The sequence below is a fragment of the Homo sapiens genome, chromosome 6 (assembly GCF_000001405.40).
Source record: "Homo sapiens chromosome 6, GRCh38.p14 Primary Assembly".
NCBI classification, from domain to species: domain Eukaryota; kingdom Metazoa; phylum Chordata; class Mammalia; order Primates; family Hominidae; genus Homo; species Homo sapiens.
Genome location: NC_000006.12, coordinates 118,224,224 through 118,243,122, shown reverse-complemented (window position 1 = coordinate 118,243,122; position 18,899 = coordinate 118,224,224). Strand labels below are relative to the sequence as shown.

Below are 18,899 nucleotides of genomic sequence, written 5' to 3'. Positions count from 1 at the left end.
TTATACGCCCTGTGGAATTAGTCTTAAGGTTGGATATCACACTGCACATTAGGGAGGCTGGCATTTGTTTTGTATTAATCTCTACTAACATGCCCACGTCAGAGGAGTGGTGCAGAAAATAAAATAATCAGTGTTGGAAGGATTACCTCCTTGTCCTTCACTCCTGATGGAAACTGCTTAAAGAATCTGAAGAGCTGTGAAATATGCACTGTGTGAAAGAGGGGATATGATGTCAGAGGCTCAGACCCCTCAGCATGGTTAGCAAGTGTATGGGAAATTGTTCCCAACGTGAGTGAATTTTAATTACCAAACTATCGTGTTTGAAGAGATACACTTTCTTCTTATTTCACAGAAACACTAGTTTAATCTGTTTGCATTTTAGTCTGTATGCCTGAAAAAAGATGAATAATCTTTGGATAAGAAGTCATACAGCTAGTATTTCTACTGTAATGGTTCATATAGCACAGTTATAAAAATAGCGTAGCTTTGAAAATGTGTCCAAATGTCATTGCTAATCTCTCTCAAAGTCACAGCACAATCTATTCATCCTCCACAAGTCAAGATACACAAGCCTACAAATGCATCTTTAGAATAAAATCCTTATAAATCCAACATGATAATGCTACCACCTCTCTTTTTACTTTCTAATAAGGAAAACAGCTAGGTTTCTCCACTTCAATATCTTTCTTTCATCATCTTTTTCCTGCATAAATGTTATCATTTTTGCCAGTGTTAACTTTTTTAGCTTCAGATTATAAAGCAAAAGTTAAAAATATTTCTCTCAAAAGATATTCAACATTACTAGCCATTCTGTAAATATAAATTAAAACCACAATGAAATATTACTACATGGCTTTTAGGTTGCCAAAAATAAAAATTAATGGTAACACCAAATGCTGGTGAGGATGGAGAACCAATAGATGTCTCATACATTGCTGGTAGGAATGTAAAATGGTACAGCTGCTATGGGAATTAGCTTGACAGCTTCTAAAAGTAAATATGCACTTACCATATGACCCAGCTATTGCACTTTTGCACATTTATCCCAGAGAAATGAATACTTTATTAACACAAAAACCTGCACATGAATGTTCACAGCAGCTTTACTTATAAAAGCCTAAAGGTGGACACAACACAAATGTCTTTCAACAGGTAAATAGTTAAACAAATTCTGGTTTATTCCTACCAGGGGATACTACTCAACAATAAAAAAGAACAAACTATTGATACATGAAACAATTTAGAGGGACTTAAGGACATTATGCTTAGTGAAAAAAGCCAATCTCAAAATGTTAAATACTGTAAAATTCAATTTTTATATAGCATTCTCTAGCTGAAAGAATTGTATAGATGAAGAACAGATTAGTGGTTGCCAGTGACAGAGATGAAGGTGATGGGCTTCACAGGGGTAGCTCCAAGGGATTTCCTTTGTGGTGATGGGATAATTCTGTACCCGATTGTAGTGGTGGTTACATGAATCTATACATGAGACCAAAGTGCATAGAACTACACAGACACACACACACACACACACACACACACACGAAGGTAAAAATGTATGAAAACTGAATAAGGTCTGCAGTCAATATCCTGGATCTGTCATTATTCTAAAGTAATAGAAAATGTCACCATTGGGGAAAGCTATGTGAAGGGTTCAAAGGATCTTATATTTTTACAATGATTATAGATTCACATGAAATTGCAGCAATATATATACATTTTCCTCTCAAGCTTCATATATCAATTGTTTGTGACATTTAACCATAAGTGTGGTGCAGAAACTGAAAGGGCAAGAGGATAGAGCAAGGAGTGACTCTTTATGCCTTTTTGTTTACATCTCTGTTTTTGAGAGAATCTGAAAACAAGAGCATTTGGTGCTCTGCCAATTATTAATGAAATCTCTCTTGTTAAAACAAATGTGCTTGGGTCACATCCTATCATTTGTTTCCTAAGAAAAATTCAGGTTTTCTTTTACCTACAACATTAAGTCATTCTGGCATTGAAGACCTTCTACAATATGGCCCAGCTTAACTCTTGGCTCTCACTTCCTCTATTCCCTTTAGAGTACCTATTGCTTCAATCTGTTCACATACCAGCCACAATGGTCTTTGAAACTCAAATGTGTCACATTACCTTGCAGATTAAAAATTTTGCAGTGGCTTCTGGTGGTACTAGCCTAAAGACCCAAACACTTGAAATGGCCACCCAGACCTGTGGGGGCTGATCCCTGCCTCTTTGTCTCGCCATCTTGTGCCACTCTTCTCTTTGGTGTCCTTGCCCAGACACGACCCTGCTCGGAACCTCATCCTTGCCATGGTCCATCCCAACATAGGGCCTTGAACACGCTGTCTGCTTAGCCTGAATCTCTTTCCCTTCCAACTAATCTACTCAGTTCCACCATCAGTTCTTCAGGAAAATCTTTCCCAACCTTCCAGTTTGGGTTAGATTGCTTTGACAAACGTTCCCAGAGAACTGTGTTGATTTCCTTCAGAATGTTTATTCTTGATTATGTCTTCATTCGTTTGGTTATTTGATTAAAAGCTGCCTTTCCCACTTGACTGGAAGTTCTGTGAGAATATGTACAGTATTTATTTTTGCTTACATATACATTCACCACCTAATACAGTGTCTTGAACACGAAGTATTCAGTAATTACTTTTGAAGTGACTGTATTAATCAGATGAAAATAATTGTTCTCCAATCATATTCCTTGAGTTTTGGGACTCCAGGCTTCTGTTATGAGGTTTGTTTCATATGCAAAGTTATACCCACATTTTATCCTCTCCACTTTTTATCCAACCTCATAGACCCATCTGAATGGACACTTTCTTGACTTTTCTTCAACTATCATCTCTGCCTCCTTTGAAAATCATAGCACTTAGGTGTCTGCTCTCTTGCCACACTTGGTGTTACTATCATTAAGCTGTGTCTCTTATCTCCTTTAGAAGTTCATAAGCTCCCATAGGGCAAGGCTGATTCATTTCTCTTTATATCACCTGCAGTAACTATTGCATTTCTCAGAAGCTAAATAAACGTGTCTTCTTTATGGATTAATATGAGTAAAACACATACTATGTGTTCAATTAATATTTATAGAAACAAGGGAAAATTGTAGTAGGTACTTGTCAGTTCCATAAATCTGTAGTGAGTAAACAGAACTAAATTACTAAACAGCACTATAAACATGGCTCACAGAGGAAATGCCTTCTGTTCTGATCACTTATTATTTAATAGATTTATTTGTTATAGGTGGAAAAATGGTTCTAGAACTGTTAGATTCAACTTGCCTTTTTACTTCCCTGTTCCTTGCTCAGTAAATTACAGTGAGGACTAATTGATATTTCACTGAAATTATTTTTCTTACTACAGAATTAAAATAAACGTTTTCATAGAATGCAGCATTAAATAGGGTGTCAAATGGCTAACTTGAGAAAGATGGCAGGATGGATATAGTGGCAGGTATAGAACATAGGTTTGAACTAACTACCTGAGGATCAGGGGACCAGCTATTAAGAATAAATTGTCACTGTTCACAGGCAAAACATACTTAAAAAAACTTAAAAAAAAACTCACTGAACTTAAGAAACAATTTGTTGTAATTTTTTCAATGCTTAACAGAAAAAAAAAAGCCAACTATGGTTCCAAACAGGAAAGTCACTCCTCATTTCCCCCTTAGGTCCATTAATACATTTTGACTCTGGGCTAATGGGTCCAGTTTTGGTGTGAAGCTAACATTCCTCCCTCCCTTTCCCCATCCTACCTCTATGAACATTCTGGGGGCCTCTAAATATAGATAAAGGACCACTGGGAGCTCCTGTGCACCAAAATACTGGAAATCAATGTATACAATTAACTTCTTCAAACATGTATTTAGTATCTAGTATGTGCTGGGGTTTCCTCTAGGTACTAGAGATTCAATGGTGAACAAGAGACTATCCTTGCTATGAAAGAGCTCACAGTTTGGTGGAGTAGATGGGAATATGCAAACATCCTTCTCAGGTAAAAGACTGCAAATAGAGCTAAAAAGCAAAGCACCTCGGGAGACGAGAGAGAGAGAGAGAGACTTGTTCTCATTGTGGGGTTTGTTGATGGGAGATGGGAGCTACACTGGGTGTACAGACATTGTGGTTTTTCCTCCTGCATCCATCTGTCTCACCTCTCCCTTAATGGGTGACAGATATGTGACCGGATGGCGTTGATCCCACCCTGACTCTATCAGTGGGTACTGTTCACTCAAAATGCCAGCAGTACTTCTATTGAGAAATGTTCAGCTAAATCAGTGAGAGAAATCTCCTCTTCTATTGATTCAGATACTTCAGGTCTAAGCCAATTAACTCACAGCATTCCCCTTGGCCATTAGTGTGGCCTAATCAGAATACAGTGCTAGACTTTTATTCAATGGTTGTGGGCAAGCATCTTTTCTGTCTCTCATTGGACATGAAGGAAGAAGGACATGTACTCCCAATTTGTGCTAAAAACCATCTCATGACCATGAGAGGAGCCTGCTTTAACATAAATCTAGCAGAAGGGACAGTAGAGGGGAAAGATGGGAAAAACGAAAAACAAAAATGAGTCCCTGATGACATTATTAAGACATTTGGCCAACTATCCTGAAGATCATCCTTTTACTAGATGTTCCAGTTATGAGAATCAATAAATTCCCATTATTATTATTATTATTATTATTATTATTATTTTAGAGATGGGATCTTGCTATATCACCCAGGACTACCTTGAATTCTTGGCCTCAAGCAATCCTCTGGCCCCAGCCTCCCCAGTAGTTGGGCAGCTGGGACTACAGAGGTGCACAACTGTATGCCCGGCTTATCAAAAGACAGTTTCTGCTGGGCTTTCCGTTATTCATAATTTGAAAGCATCCTAAGGTACAGAGGTCCTTGAAATAAATAGGACTTCATTAGGTAGGGGATGGAGACGAAAAGGATATTCCAAGTAATAGAAACACCTTGAGCAGGGTATTAACTTTAAAAATGTAGCAAATTGTGTGTGTGTTTAAGAGAGAGAAACATAGGTGTTTATGGGACATCTGTAGTGGGAAATATTCTTATACCATTTCTAAGATGAGAAAGGAAGAGGGGAGGTGGAAGGAAAGAAACAATGTTTTTTTCTAGTGAGAACTTCAGATTGCACTGAATAATGAATGTTGATATACATAAAGAGAACACTGCCAATAATTTTTATTTCCATAATTTTTTTCAGTGTATTAGTATGTATCATAGAAATATACAATAAGACTTCAAAATTACATTTGTGGTAAATTCACCAATTTTATGAAACTCATTTCATTTGCACACAGCATACCAAATTACTGGTGCAACTACGACGTATCTAAAAGGTTTTTCCATTTTAAAGCTTTATTGTATGGAGAGGTGAATATGAAGGACATTATAACTATCGCTGTTAAAGAAGACATACGGGCTGGGCGTGTGGCTCATGCCTGTAATCCCAGCACTTTAGGAGGCTGAGGTGGGCGGATCTCTTGAGCCCAGGAGTTCAAGACCAGCCTGGGCAACATGGGGAAATCCCATCTCTAGAAAAACTACAAAAATTAGCCAGGTGTGGTGGCATGTGCCTGTAGTCCCAGCTACTTGTGGGGGCTGAGGCCAGAGGATCGCTTTAGCCCAGGAAGTTGAGGCAGCAGTGAGGCATGTTTCTGCCACTGCACTCCAGCCTGGGTAACAAAGTGAGACAAAGGAAAAAAAAAGTTATGCACTGAATTATTCTCCCTCTGGAATTTGCAACCATTTTGTGTGTGTGTGTGTGTGTGTGTGTGTGTGTGTTTTCTTAGAATTCATGAGGTCTTGCGCAAAATAAAGAAAATGTAACTGGGGGAGTCCTAGGTGATGGCTTAATCATATTTATAATTGGTGTGTTTATGTCTAAATGCTAATTTATGCATGATGCTGTACCAGGTAGATTTATAAATTAACTTTAAAAAAGTCATAGTTCTTGCTTTCAAGGTCCTTAAAAATGTCCTAATAGCACTGACAATGTATAGAGAATAGAGAGTATGAGTATCCCCCAATATATTTTTTAACATAAAGAAATGTTATATATTGTGCATGGAGGCATTTTGTGTCTCTTTTTCATCTTGGAGAGGATGAAAAAGAAACAAAAAGGCCAACTTTAGGGAGAGCAGGGCTCTAAAAACTGGAGAAAAGAAAGTTCTAAAAGGGAGAGAAAGGATTTCATACAAGGAAATTTTTAAAAAGGCAAGTGCCAAGAGGCAGAATGCACTCCTTCTGGAGTCTCATGAGGCATCTGGCTATTGCCTTGTATCTCTTCCAACATCAGTCTAAAAGTCACAGGGTGCTAAGGATTAAAGTGACCGGGCAGGCTCAGGTCTCCCTTATCAGTTATCTATTTTCTTCAATATGCACCTGACTAGGAATCTGATCCCACAAAAGCTCTTGGAACACAACGTGCATATGGAGGTGGTCCTGGAAAAATGCTACCATTAATTACTTTCATTTCAAGCTATCTTTGAAGTTCATATGAAAATCAGATGGTAGGAAAACTAAGTCAGGTGTAGATAGTTTCCCACCCACTGTATTTCATCTAATTTTTTCAAGTGCTTTGCTGCTTGTTTCTCCATTTTTGTCATTATTGTTCGTAAGCAAATAGACAAGATGGCAGGAAGTATCAAAGCTAAACTAAATCTAATATGAGAACAATGTTTTGTTTTGTGTTTTATCCTAGAGCTTTGCAATGGTATGGAATTAATAATATTACCATATAAAAAGAAGTGAAGATGAAACAAAAATAGTTAAGTTTATCATTTACAGTGTAATGAGGAATATATATGTCTGTCAAAAATTGTGAAAAGCGAAGGTAAACTTGCAATTGTGTGTGTGTGTGTTCATGTGAGAAAGAGAAGGAGAGGGAAGAAGGGGGAAAGAAACACAGTAGCTATCTTCACGCATAACACATTTTAAGAATTGACTCCTTGTCCCTTTAGGAAAAATCCTGTCCCTTCAGGTTGCAAATTCTACACATTAAAAAAGCTAAAAGAAAAGATTATTAAGCAGTTTGATTATTTAATCAAAGTCTATTAACATTCTAAAAAGTTATAAGTTGTGATTAAAATTGATTTGTTTTTATATTTATTAATAATTCTCCTGCTAACATAAGATTAGTTGACAGCATTCAAAGCCACAAATTTTTTTTACATTGTCAATAGTAATTGCAATATATTCAAAACAAAGAGAAAACATATGTCCAATTACACTTAAATTTAAAGGATTATTAAGACATATAAATAAAGTTCAAGTTAATTTTTATATAACCAGTTTCCATCTTGTTGCAAAACTCATAGACTTATAGTATACAGAATCTGTATACTGCAGTCTGTATACTATAGTATAGTATACAGATAGTAACTTGTAGTATAGAGATTTTCAAGGACTAAACTGAAAGTAAACTACATCTGGATAGAGGAAGTTGAGAAGGGAAGAAGAACCATGGGTACCTGGATACTGGTCAGAGTTGTGTATTGGTAAGCCTTGACCACCAGATAATTTGCTTCCAGGTCTATGAGTCCCAAAATCATGTACTTCCACCATCTTCGTCGTAAAATTGCCAGGAGGTTTTCTTCTCCTGTGTTACAAAGTTAAGAAGAAATGGGTTAGGTTCCTGAAATAGAATAAATTGTACATTTAGAAGAATTCTAATATGTTGCAACATTATATATTTTTAACCTAAAGTTTACCAAATATTTAAACAAATAAATCAACGTATCAGATACCCACATGTTTTTATTTAGCAAATTAACTTTATTGCAGATTTTGGCTTTTCAAGTTACTTTCTATGCCAGAGTAAGACTGGGCAGGTTATAAGCTTACCATGCAAAACATCTTTTGTGTGTGAATAAATGAAGGATAACATAATTACATCATATGAAAATGAAAGGAAAGGTGTACCAGAAAGGCTGCATAAACACAACATTCCAAATCATTCTAAATTTCAGGATTGTGATAAAATAGATAAAAATGAAAGAACCAAACAGAAAAAGGCTTGTGCTTGGCAGCAGATCTGTAGTAAGACTCTGAGATGCTATCCTGAGTTCCTGATCAGCTTTGAATGTTGCATGCACTCTAGTGGTTTGTGGGTGATGGGAAGAGACAGCAAGTTGGGGCATCACTCTCAGATGAAAAAGAGTGCCATTTGACAACACTTTTAATACTGCCAACAACTATAATCTTCACCATCTTGCATTTTTAAACTGGTAGCATAAGAACAGACTTTGAATCTCTTAGTTCTTCATTCTTATTTTTACATATATTTCAGGCCTGAGATAAACCTTATTTCTCAAGGCAGGGCAATCATGATCAGGAACAATAATAATTCTCTGTAGCCAACCTGTGGGGTCTTCATAGAGGATGTAGATGTACAGAAACTTAGTGAATGGTGACTATATACCATATTTATGGCTGTGTAACAAGATATCCAGAGACAGAGCTGTTTAAAACAAGAAATACTGATTATCTCGCAGTTTTTGTGGGTCAAGAACCAGGTTAGAGCTTAACTGAGTGTCTCCAGCTCAAGTTCTCCTAGTAAGTTGCAGCCAGTTGTCAACCGGGAATGCAGTGTCATCTGAAGAAATGACTGGGGAGGGACCTGCTTCCAAGCTCACTCACATGGCTGTGGGTGGGCATTGGTCCCTTACCCCAAGGACCTTTGTACAGTACTGCCTCAAAACATGGCATTTGTTTTGTCCCAGGACAAACAATGAGAGAGAGAGAGAACACCAAAGATGGAAGATAAGGTTTTTATAACCTAATCTCAAAAGTGACACTTCTACCCTACTGTATTCTTTAACAAAGGGTCAATAAGTCCAGCCCACATTCAAGGGGAGAGAATTTCATAAGGGAGTGAATACCAGGAGGCAGAGATCCTTGGAGGCCATCTTAGAGGCTGCCTAAACAGTGACACACATCTTTAGTCCTAGAGATGTACTTCAGCTGGTCCTCAAAGCCTCAGAAGAACATTGGATCCTCAGCTGTATTTGGACCACTCTCAGAATCAGAGCTACTTATTTCTGCTCTTAGCTGTATTCCAATGACCATGATAATGAGGTGGTCTTTCCAACCCTATGAAGACTTGTGAGCACAAAGCTTTCAGTTACATACAGACTGTCAAAGCATGAGTTGTGGCCAGTTGACAATAGGAGAGAAGGGTCTCTTGACCTTTGGTGGTCAAATCAGTTTGCCAGCCTACTCTTCCAAGCCACACTTCTCATAGCCTTCAAGCCTTCAAGCATGCACAAAGTCTTTCTGTATCAGGGAACTGCGCTCCCCATCTTGCAAACTCCTATTCATTTTTCAAAATGTAGCCCTTCTCTGGTCTTTTGGCTAAGCCCTTTCCCCAACTGGGTAATGCACATCCATCTCTGATTAATCCTTTCATAGGATTGTGATTACTGACTCTTCACTAGACTGGGTGCTTTTATCCAAAGGTAGAGTTAATGTCTTACTCATATACTTATCCATAGCCTCTAGCATACTGACATATAGCAAGGGTTAGCTAAGTGTTTTGGAGTGAATGAATCAATGAATTGAAAACAAAAAAAAAGTGAAATACTGTCTGAATATGTCAAGAGCCAGTGCTAGAATATGAGTCACTCTTTTCATGGTTTTGCACATGAGAAGGCTGGCAGATGTGATCCGCAAGGTCAGTTCTTCACCGCCAGATCATTTTGGCAGTCTTTGAACAGCTCTTCTGCCTCTCTGACTTGCCTTACATGTTTGACAATCAACACATTCGTCAGGATTTGTCTTGTCAATCAGTGATTCTCAACCTGACTGCGTATTCACATCATCTGGAGAGCTTTTAAAAAGTCCTGGCTGGGCGCGGTGGCTCACGCCTGTAATCCCAGCACTTTGGGAGGCTGAGGCGGGCAGATCACGAGGTCAAGAGATCGAGATCATCCTGGCCAACGTGGTGAAACTCTGTCTCTACTAAAAAATACATGAATTAGCTGAGTGTGGTGGTGCACACCTATAGTTCCAGCTACTCAGGAGGTTGAGGCAGGAGAATCACTTGAACCCAGGAGGCGGAGGTTGCAGTGAGCCGAGATGGCGCCACTGCACTCCAGCCTGGCAACAGAGTGAGACTTCGTCTAAAAAAAAAAAAACCAGAAAAGTCCTAATGCCTGGGACCAGCCCCCCTTCTAGAGATTCTGATTTAACTGGTCTTGGGTGGGGGCCTGTGCATTGCACTGAGGATCAAAACTAGGACTTTTAGATGATTAATTTTCAATGGCCATTCTCATGGTGACTCGAGCTAAGAATCCCAAAGAGATACAACCACAGAGTGGTGAAGACTCTTCATACCAAAGAAATGACCTGAACATTTGGCCCAAAGTACGCTTTCTCTTGTCTCTGGGCCTTTCCATGTGCTGTTTCCTCTGCTTGGACTATTCTTCCTTCTGTCTCCAAATGAAGTCTCAGCATACACACTTCTACCAGGAAGCCTTCCTTGATACTCTTAGTACCCTAGACTGGGCTAGGTTTTCCTGCTGTGTGCTTCCTTAACACCTTTTTTTTTTTTTTTTTTTTGGGATGGAGTTTCACTCTTGTCACCCAGGCTGGAGTGCAATGGCGCGATCTTGGCTCACCACAACCTCCACCTCCTGGGTTCAAGCGATTCTCCTGCCTCAGCCTCCCGTGTAGCTGGGATTACAGGCATGCACCACCACGCCCAGCTAATTTTGTATTTTTAGTACAGACGGGGTTTCTACATGTGGTCAGGCTGGTATTAATCTCCTGACCTTGTGATCCGCCTGCCTCATCCTCCCAAAGTGCTGGGATTACAGGCGTAAGCCACTATGCCCAGTCAACACCCTTTATTTATACATGGTGCTTATCCTCCTGTCTTATAATTACCTACTTTCTTCACTCTATTACACATTAGATTATTAATAATTTGGAGAGAGCAGAATTGTCTTGGTAGTCACTTTATTCCCAGATCCCACAGTGCATGTCAGGCAGTCAATAAATAACATAAATGTATAAATAAATTTCATGTTTAATAATCTCAGCAATGTTAAATCCCATTGCAATTGAGGCACTGAAAATATATCTATTAGAAACATTCATGTTTCAGCCTACGAGAATTGTTTTCTAGTTAGAATGTAGACAACGTGTGACAAAATTAATTTGGTGAACATTTTACACATAATACACTGTACCTTGGACATAAAAAGGTCAATGGCATATTTAACCTTCACACTGCAATTCTAAAGTCACAGACCCTTGTCCCAGTTAATTTACACAGTGAACACAGAATTGCCAGACTCAGAGCGCACCAGCCACATCTCAATACATAGCACTGAAAAAATGGGCTATGGTGCTGTTTGTTCCATCAATCAATAACATATTCAAAGTGTTCTTCATTACATAGATTCAAAGGAATGATTAGTTGCCTTGCCATTCTGCTGAAGTTTGCAGTGCAAAACACCCTAAATAAATGCTTCCATATTGTTTCATTTGAAGTACCTGAAAATAGACAACATGCTTGCTTAGCAGAATTATTCAGGAGGGCAAGAGGAAGGCTTTTTTATTTTTGGCTAAGCAAAAAATGCAACCGTTGAAAAGCCAGCTTGGGGATTTATCTACATGACTCCCATTAATGCTGATCTGCAACAGACCATTAAAACTCTTTCTAGAATAATGAAAATACATTCCTTAGAGTCCCCATGCCAGCACTACCCAAACCTCATGAAACAGGGCCATCTATAAGAAACACCAGTACAGCTGGTAATATGCTAATGTTTTGAAATCCACCCCACCTTTTTTTAAATTAACTGGGAGAAGTAATAAAATCCATGGATGGAAACTTTAGAATTACAGTTTGGCAATTAAATGCATTCTGTTTACTATTTTTATTATCAATATGTTAAAATATAAGTAAAAAGATTAGAGAATAATCTGTCCTCCTCCCTGATTTAATAAATGTTAACAGTTTGCTGTGTTTTTCTCAGATCTTTATTTTTTGAGAAAGAAAATTTTACAGATGAAATAAAAGTCCCCTCTCTGTCCCTGCCAGATTTCATTTCCATCCCTCCTTCCTCAAATGATCATCTTGATATTGTTTTTTTGTTGTTGTTTTTGTTTGTGGGGGGTGTTTTTGTTTGTTTGCTTGTTTCAGACAGGGTCTCTCTCTGTCTCCCAGACTGGAGTGCAGTGGCGTGACCATGGCTCTCTGAAGCCCTGACTTCCTGGGCTCAAGTGATCCTCCTGCTTCAGCCTCTTGAGTAGCAAGCCCAGCTAATTTTTGCATTTCTTTGTAGAGATGGGGTTTTGCCATGTTGCCCAGGTGGTCTTGAACTCCTGGGCTCAAAGAATCCACCCGCCTTGGCCTTCCAAAATGCTGGGATTTACAGGCATGAGCCACCACGCCAGCCTTATCATCTTGATTTTGTTATGTATCTTTTAGGCTCCTGTTTTGGTTCACATTTCTATGTGTGCGTGTATTCAAAATAGTATATGACTTTCTTTCATGTGTTTTTAAATTTTATGTGAAGGTTTACTGTAAATGCTGTAAATATTCTCCTAGGCTTCTTCATGGCTTATCCTTGTTTTAGAAATGCATCCTTGTTGTCTCATGGAGAGCTAATTCATTTATTTTAAATGATGTCTACTATTATGTTTTATGAGTATGCCACAATTTATTCAATCTTCCACTGATAGACTTCTAATTGGTTCTAATTTTTCAAACAATGCAGTAAAAGACATATATTTCTTGTTTTTCTTCTTTTTTTTTTTTGTAGATGGAGTCTTGCTGTGTCACCAGCCTGGAGTGCAGTGGTGTAATCTCGGCTCACTGCAACCTCCGCCTCCCGGGTTCAAGCGATGCTCCTGCCTCAGCCTCCCGAGTGGCTGGGACTACAGGCACGTGCCACTATGCCCAGCTAATTTTTGTATTTTTAGTAGAGATGAGGTTTCACCATGTTGGCCAGGATAGTCTTGATCTCCTGACCTTGTGATCGGCCCACCATGGCCTCCCAAAGTGCTGGGATTACAGGCAAGAGCCACCATGCCTGGCTGACACTTATGTCTTTATACACATGTATCATTATAATTGATATAGAGTTTTGTTTTCACTCTCTCTTTAAAGGACTGTAGAGTATGGCAAATGTGTAAAACATAATGAAAGTCATTCTAATTTGAAGTAAGATAGCATTACAACAACTTCAGTGTTTGAGAATAGACAGGAAAAAATCTTGGCCATGTGATTCATGTCTAATTTTGCTAAGCATCTGCAGGATGACCAATCAAATGTGTTTTATAATTTGTTAAACAAACACTTAATAGGATAATTACTATGTGTCAGAGAGTGTCCACTTGCTTTACAAATGCTATCTTATCCTCATTAAAACCCTATATATATTAGATGCTACTACTAACTCCACATACAGATGACAAGAATGAGACCTGTAGGAGTTAAGTAACTTGCACAAGATCACATACATAAACCAGTATTTGAACTCATGACAATTTGGCACTAGGCTTCATATTCATTAGCATTGCAATATTTTCTTTTGCCTTGCTGATTTGTAATTATGACATTATCCTCATGAGTCATGCATTTCTCATTAACGGATCTTTCCTGACCTACTGATCCAAACTCACTTGCAGGGCACCCCACTGCCAACTCCAGGGGTGCCTGTCATACTGGAGTGCTAGTATATGCATGGTGCTCCCCAGGAGTTGCCAGCCCTCAGCTCTGAATCAGCTTAGAGATCAGAATGTGTCCCATCACCATCAGTTCAGTATCAGGGATTTGATGTCTCCTTGCCTGATCTAAGTCTATGAGAGAATTTTTCCTGTGAAATGTGAAATAAGGCTTTAAATCAATTTTTTGGCTTAAAAAGTCTCATTACAAAAATAATCGTCATATGCTCGACTACTTGCTGAGGCCCCAGACATAGTAACAGTGGTTGCACATGGGGTGGGGTGAGGGTGGTAGTGGCTAATAAATGTTGAGGGAATGAAAAGTTTTGCCCAAGGGCTGAAACACAGTCCACATCCAAGCCAATGACTGGAAAACAGAAGAGCCTTGATTCATAGTATTCTTGTTCACCCCAGGGGTAGTCTGAGTATATAATAAAAGTGCTGCAAGACAGCACCCTAGATGAATTCAGCTGAGGGGACAAGAAGCTGCGTTATTTTGGGAACTGCATTTTCATTAAGGGATCTCATGGGTGGTGTCATCCTTCATGGTGTTTTTACGCCAGAACAAAACTCAGCACACATTTCACAGTCTGCAGCAAGAGTGATGCTCCTGCACAGGGGGCAAGATCCTTACTTGAATAAACACCTTTTTGGCTCACAGTGTGATGCCTTAATATCATCTCTTTTACCAGAACTCCAAAGGGGAAAGTTTGAGTATTTTTTGTGTGTTTTGTTTTTGAGACAGGGTCCCATTCTGCCACCCAGGCTGGAGTGCAGTGGTGTGATCTTGGTTCACTGCAGCCTTGCCCTCCCAGGATCAAGCAATCATCCCACCTCAGCCTCCCAAGTAGCTGGGACTACAGATGCACGCCACCATATCTGACCAATTTTTATAGAGTCGGGATTTCGTCATGTTGCCCAGGCTGGTCTCAAACTCCTGGGCTCAAGTGATCTGCCCGCCTCTCCCTCCCAAAGTGCTGGGATTACAGATGTGAGCCACCACACCCAGCCTGTTTTACTTATCAGTGAATTTGAAAATAAGTATGACTTATGATGGACATATAATTACTTACTTTAAAAGCTAAAATATAGTATTAGGATTTAGAGTTTAAAACTATTCCATTTAGTATGAAAAGTGAACAAAATTAATGTCCTAATTATATAAAAAAGAAAATCTAAATTGTTCATGAGAACGATTGCAATCAGCTGCTCTTCATAATGCAAACCTGAGTGAAGGATGAAATACAGAAAAGATAAATAAATTTTATCTTGTCTTCTTTCATTTATTTTTATTATTAGATCCAGAGAGTGAGATTGGGAAAAGTATAAAAGGCAGCCCTTTGATATTTTGGCTTAGTAACAAACGGACCTGAGTTTAGCCACAGGCTGCCTCTTACTGTGTGGCACGTAGGAATTGGGTTAGTGGCTCTGAACCTCAATCTTTCTACTATTAATGATTCCACACATATTGCACACTACATGCAAGACTTCAAAGAGGAAACTGCACAGAAGGGTGGAAAGAAAGACAAGAGAAGAAACTTTGTGTTCGTTCTCATTTTGTTCCCCTCTCACCCAACTCATTAAAGCTCCTACTCATCCTTCAAGATCCAGTCTAAATGTTACCTCCCACATGAAGCCTTCTCAAATTCTCTGCCACCCCTTCCCAGTTCCTCAGCACTTTTCTTTTCATTCTTTTTTGTTTTGTTTTGTTTTTGCCCACCCTATATTGCCTAGCATAGTGATTGAGACAAATTAATTACTCAATGTAAGACCTTTAAAATCTGCTCAATTGCCCTTTTTCAAGAAATGCCTAATATGGATTTGGAAAAATATCTAAAAGCAAATACAATGAATCATCATTGCATAAGGTTCTGGTATTTTTTACGTTAAGCTGAGTACTATGGAAAAATCCATAAATGCACAGATATCATTGCAGACAGAATAGATACAACACAAACCAACACTTTTGTCCCATATTTCTAGTTTTAACAGACACATTTCTTCATAAATACCGTCAGCCTCCTAAAATGTAATCCATTTAAACTAAGTACATATTTATACCCCAAAATCCTGTCTAGTTGATGCCTGTTTTTGAGCAACTCCTCTTGAGGACCATCTTGCTTCACCTGTTGCAGTTTTCTACATGTGCCGGTTCTTGCTCTGAAAAGTAGTCCCAAGAGTTCCTGCCTTTTGATTTGCACAGCGAGTCTGCCAGGTTGGGCCTCTCCCTCAGGGCTGCCATGTTTCCAGGCTCCAGAAAGCAGCCTTCTCAGATAAATCAAGCCTGGTGTCCTGTGCAGTTGAGCATGATGGCAGCCACATCTTCTTGCTGGCAGTGCACCATGAGGGAAGGCAGTGGAGCCATTCCGCAGTGGGCTGTCACCCAGGTTATTCCACCCATGGTGTGCACAATGTTGAGCAACTTTGTCACTTTTTAATTAATTTATTTATTGATTGATACATATTAGATGTACATATTTTGGGGGTACATTTGACAATTTGATACATTCCTGTAATCAAATTAGGGTAACTGGGATAACCATCATTTTAAATATTTATTTTTTCTTTATGCTAGGAACATTTGTTCTCTTCTAGCTATTTTGAAATGTACAGTTGATTAATGTTAATTATAGTTAATTATAATGAGCTATCAAACAACAGGTCTTAAGTATATATTTGTACCCATTAATTAACCTCACCTCATCCCCTACCACTCCTCTCTACTCTTCCCAGCGTCTGGTAACCACGAGTCTACTCTCTATCTTCATGAGATCCACTTTTTGAGGTTCCATGTATGAGTGAGAACATGCAATATTTGTCTTTCTATGCTTGGCTTATTTCACTTAACATAATGACGTCCAGTTCCATCCATGTTGTTGCAAATGATAGGATTTCATTCCTTTTAGTGGCTGAATAATATTCCATTGTGTGTGTGTGTGTGTGTGTATCCATTCATCAGTTGATGGACACTTAGGTTGATTCCATGTTTTGGTTATTGTGAATAGTGCTGCAATAAACACAGAAACGCAGATAACTCTTTGATATATTGATTTCCTATCTTTTAGGCATAACTCAATAGCGGAATTGCTGGATCATATGGTTAGTTCTATTTCTAGCTTTTTGAGGAATCTCCATCTGTTTTCCATAGTATGGCTATTCTAATTCACATTCCTACCAACACTGTACAAGGATTCGCCTTTCTTCATATCGTCACCAGCATGTCATTCCTTGTCTTTTTGACAAAAGTCATTATAACTGGGTTGAGACTATAGTTTTGATTTGCATTTCTCTCATGATTAGTGATGTTGAGTATTTTTTCATGTACCTGTTGGCCATTTGTTCCATCTTTTGAGAAATGTGTTTTTAGGTCTTTTCCCATTTTAAAATCAAATTATTCGACATTTTGCTATTTAGTTGTTTATATATAACTGTTTATATATTCTGGTTATTAATCCCTTATAAAATAAATATTTCCAAATATTTTCTCCCACTTTGTGGGTTGTCTCTTCACTTTGTTAATTGTTTCCTTTGCTGTGAAGATTTTTTTTTTTTTTTTGAGACAAAGTCTCGCTCTGTCAGCCAGGCTGGAGTGCAGTGGCTTGATCTCGGCTCACTGCAAGCTCCACCTCCCGGGTTCATGCCATTCTCCTGCCTCAGCCTCCCAAGTAGCTGGGACTACAGGCGCCTGCCACTACACCCAGCTAAATTTTTTTTGTATTTTTAGTAGAGACGGGGTTTCACCGTGTTAGCCAGGATGCTGTGAAGAAGGTTTTTAACTTGATATGACCCCATTTGTTCATGTTTGCTTTTGCTATCTATGCATTTGAGGTCTTACACGAAAAAATCTTTGCCTAGAGCAACGTCCTGGAATATTTCCCCAATGTTTTCTTCTAGTGCTTTCATAGTTTCAGGTATTAGACTTAAGTCTTCAATCCATTTTGATTAGATTTTTGTATATGTTGAGAGCTAGGGGTCTAGATTCCCTCTTCTGCATATGGTTAACCAGTTTTTCCAGGATCATTTATTGAAGAGACTTCCCTTTCCCCATTGTATGTTCTTGGCACCTTTGTTAAAAATTAGTTGGCTATAAATACATAGATTTATATCTGAGTTCTTTATTCTATTCCATTCATCTATATGTCTATTTTTATGCCAGTACCATGCTGATTTAATTGCCATAACTTTGTAGTATATTTTGCAGTCAGGTAGTGTGATGCCTCTAGCTTTGTTCTTTTTGCTCAGGATTGCTTTGGCTACTGGGGTCCTTTATTTCTGTGAAGAATGTCATTGGTACTTTGATAGCAATTACATTGAGCCTATAATTTGCTTTGGGTGATACTGTCATTTTAACAGTGTTAATTCTTCCAACCCATGCGCATGGAATATCCTTTCATTTTTTGTGTGTCCTCTTCAATTTCTTTCATCAGTATTTTATATTTTTCCTTGTATAGCTCTTTCAGGATGCTCACTTTTACCACTTTTTCTTCAATAATACTGGAAGTCCAGGCCAGAGCAATTAGGCAAGATAAAGAGATAAAGGGTATCCAAATTGGAAAGGAAAAAGTCAAATTAGCCTTGTACACACATGATATGATCTTATATTTAGAAAAAACTAGAGACTCCACCAAAAAACTTTAGAACTGATAAGCAAATTCAGTAAAGTTGCAAGATACAAAATCTACATACAAACATCAGTAGCATTTATATACACCAACAGAGAGCAATCTGAAGAAGAAATCAAGAAAGCAATCCCATTTATAACAGCTACTAATAATACAAAATAATACCTAGAAATCAATTCAGTCACTTTAAGCCTTGATTTCCCTCATCTATACATCAGTATTACTAGGTGGACCTGCTTCCTTGAGTGTTTGTAAGAAATAAATGAGTGTGCCTATAGTCCCGGATACTCAGGAGGCTCAGGTGGGAGGATGCATTCAGCTTGGGAGGTGGAGATTGCAGTGAGCTGAGATCATGTCACTGCACTCCAGCTTGGACAGCAGAGCTAGACCCTGTCTCAAAAACAAAACAAAACAGTAAAAAAACAGCCAACTAGTTTCCTTTCCAGGTGATTTAAAACAATGTATGTGATTATTTGCTATCTTGAATGACTGCCAAAATTTTGCACTTTACACCTAAATTTTCATCATCATGAAGATATCACCTACAGTGAAAAATACTGCTCACTAGCTCAAAATGGTTAATGAT

At 38.5% G+C, this 18,899-nt stretch overlaps 1 protein-coding gene across 2 annotated transcripts in view; it reads right to left on the bottom strand.

Moving 5' to 3' along the window:
- Positions 1–18,899, bottom strand: part of SLC35F1 (solute carrier family 35 member F1) — a 410,408-nt gene that overhangs the window by 74,549 nt on the left and 316,960 nt on the right. For both annotated transcript variants that reach the window (NM_001029858.4, NM_001415931.1), the window contains exon 3: positions 7,487–7,614. In NM_001029858.4, coding sequence (NP_001025029.2) covers positions 7,487–7,614 — 128 coding nt within the window. The remainder of the gene's footprint in view (positions 1–7,486; positions 7,615–18,899) is intronic.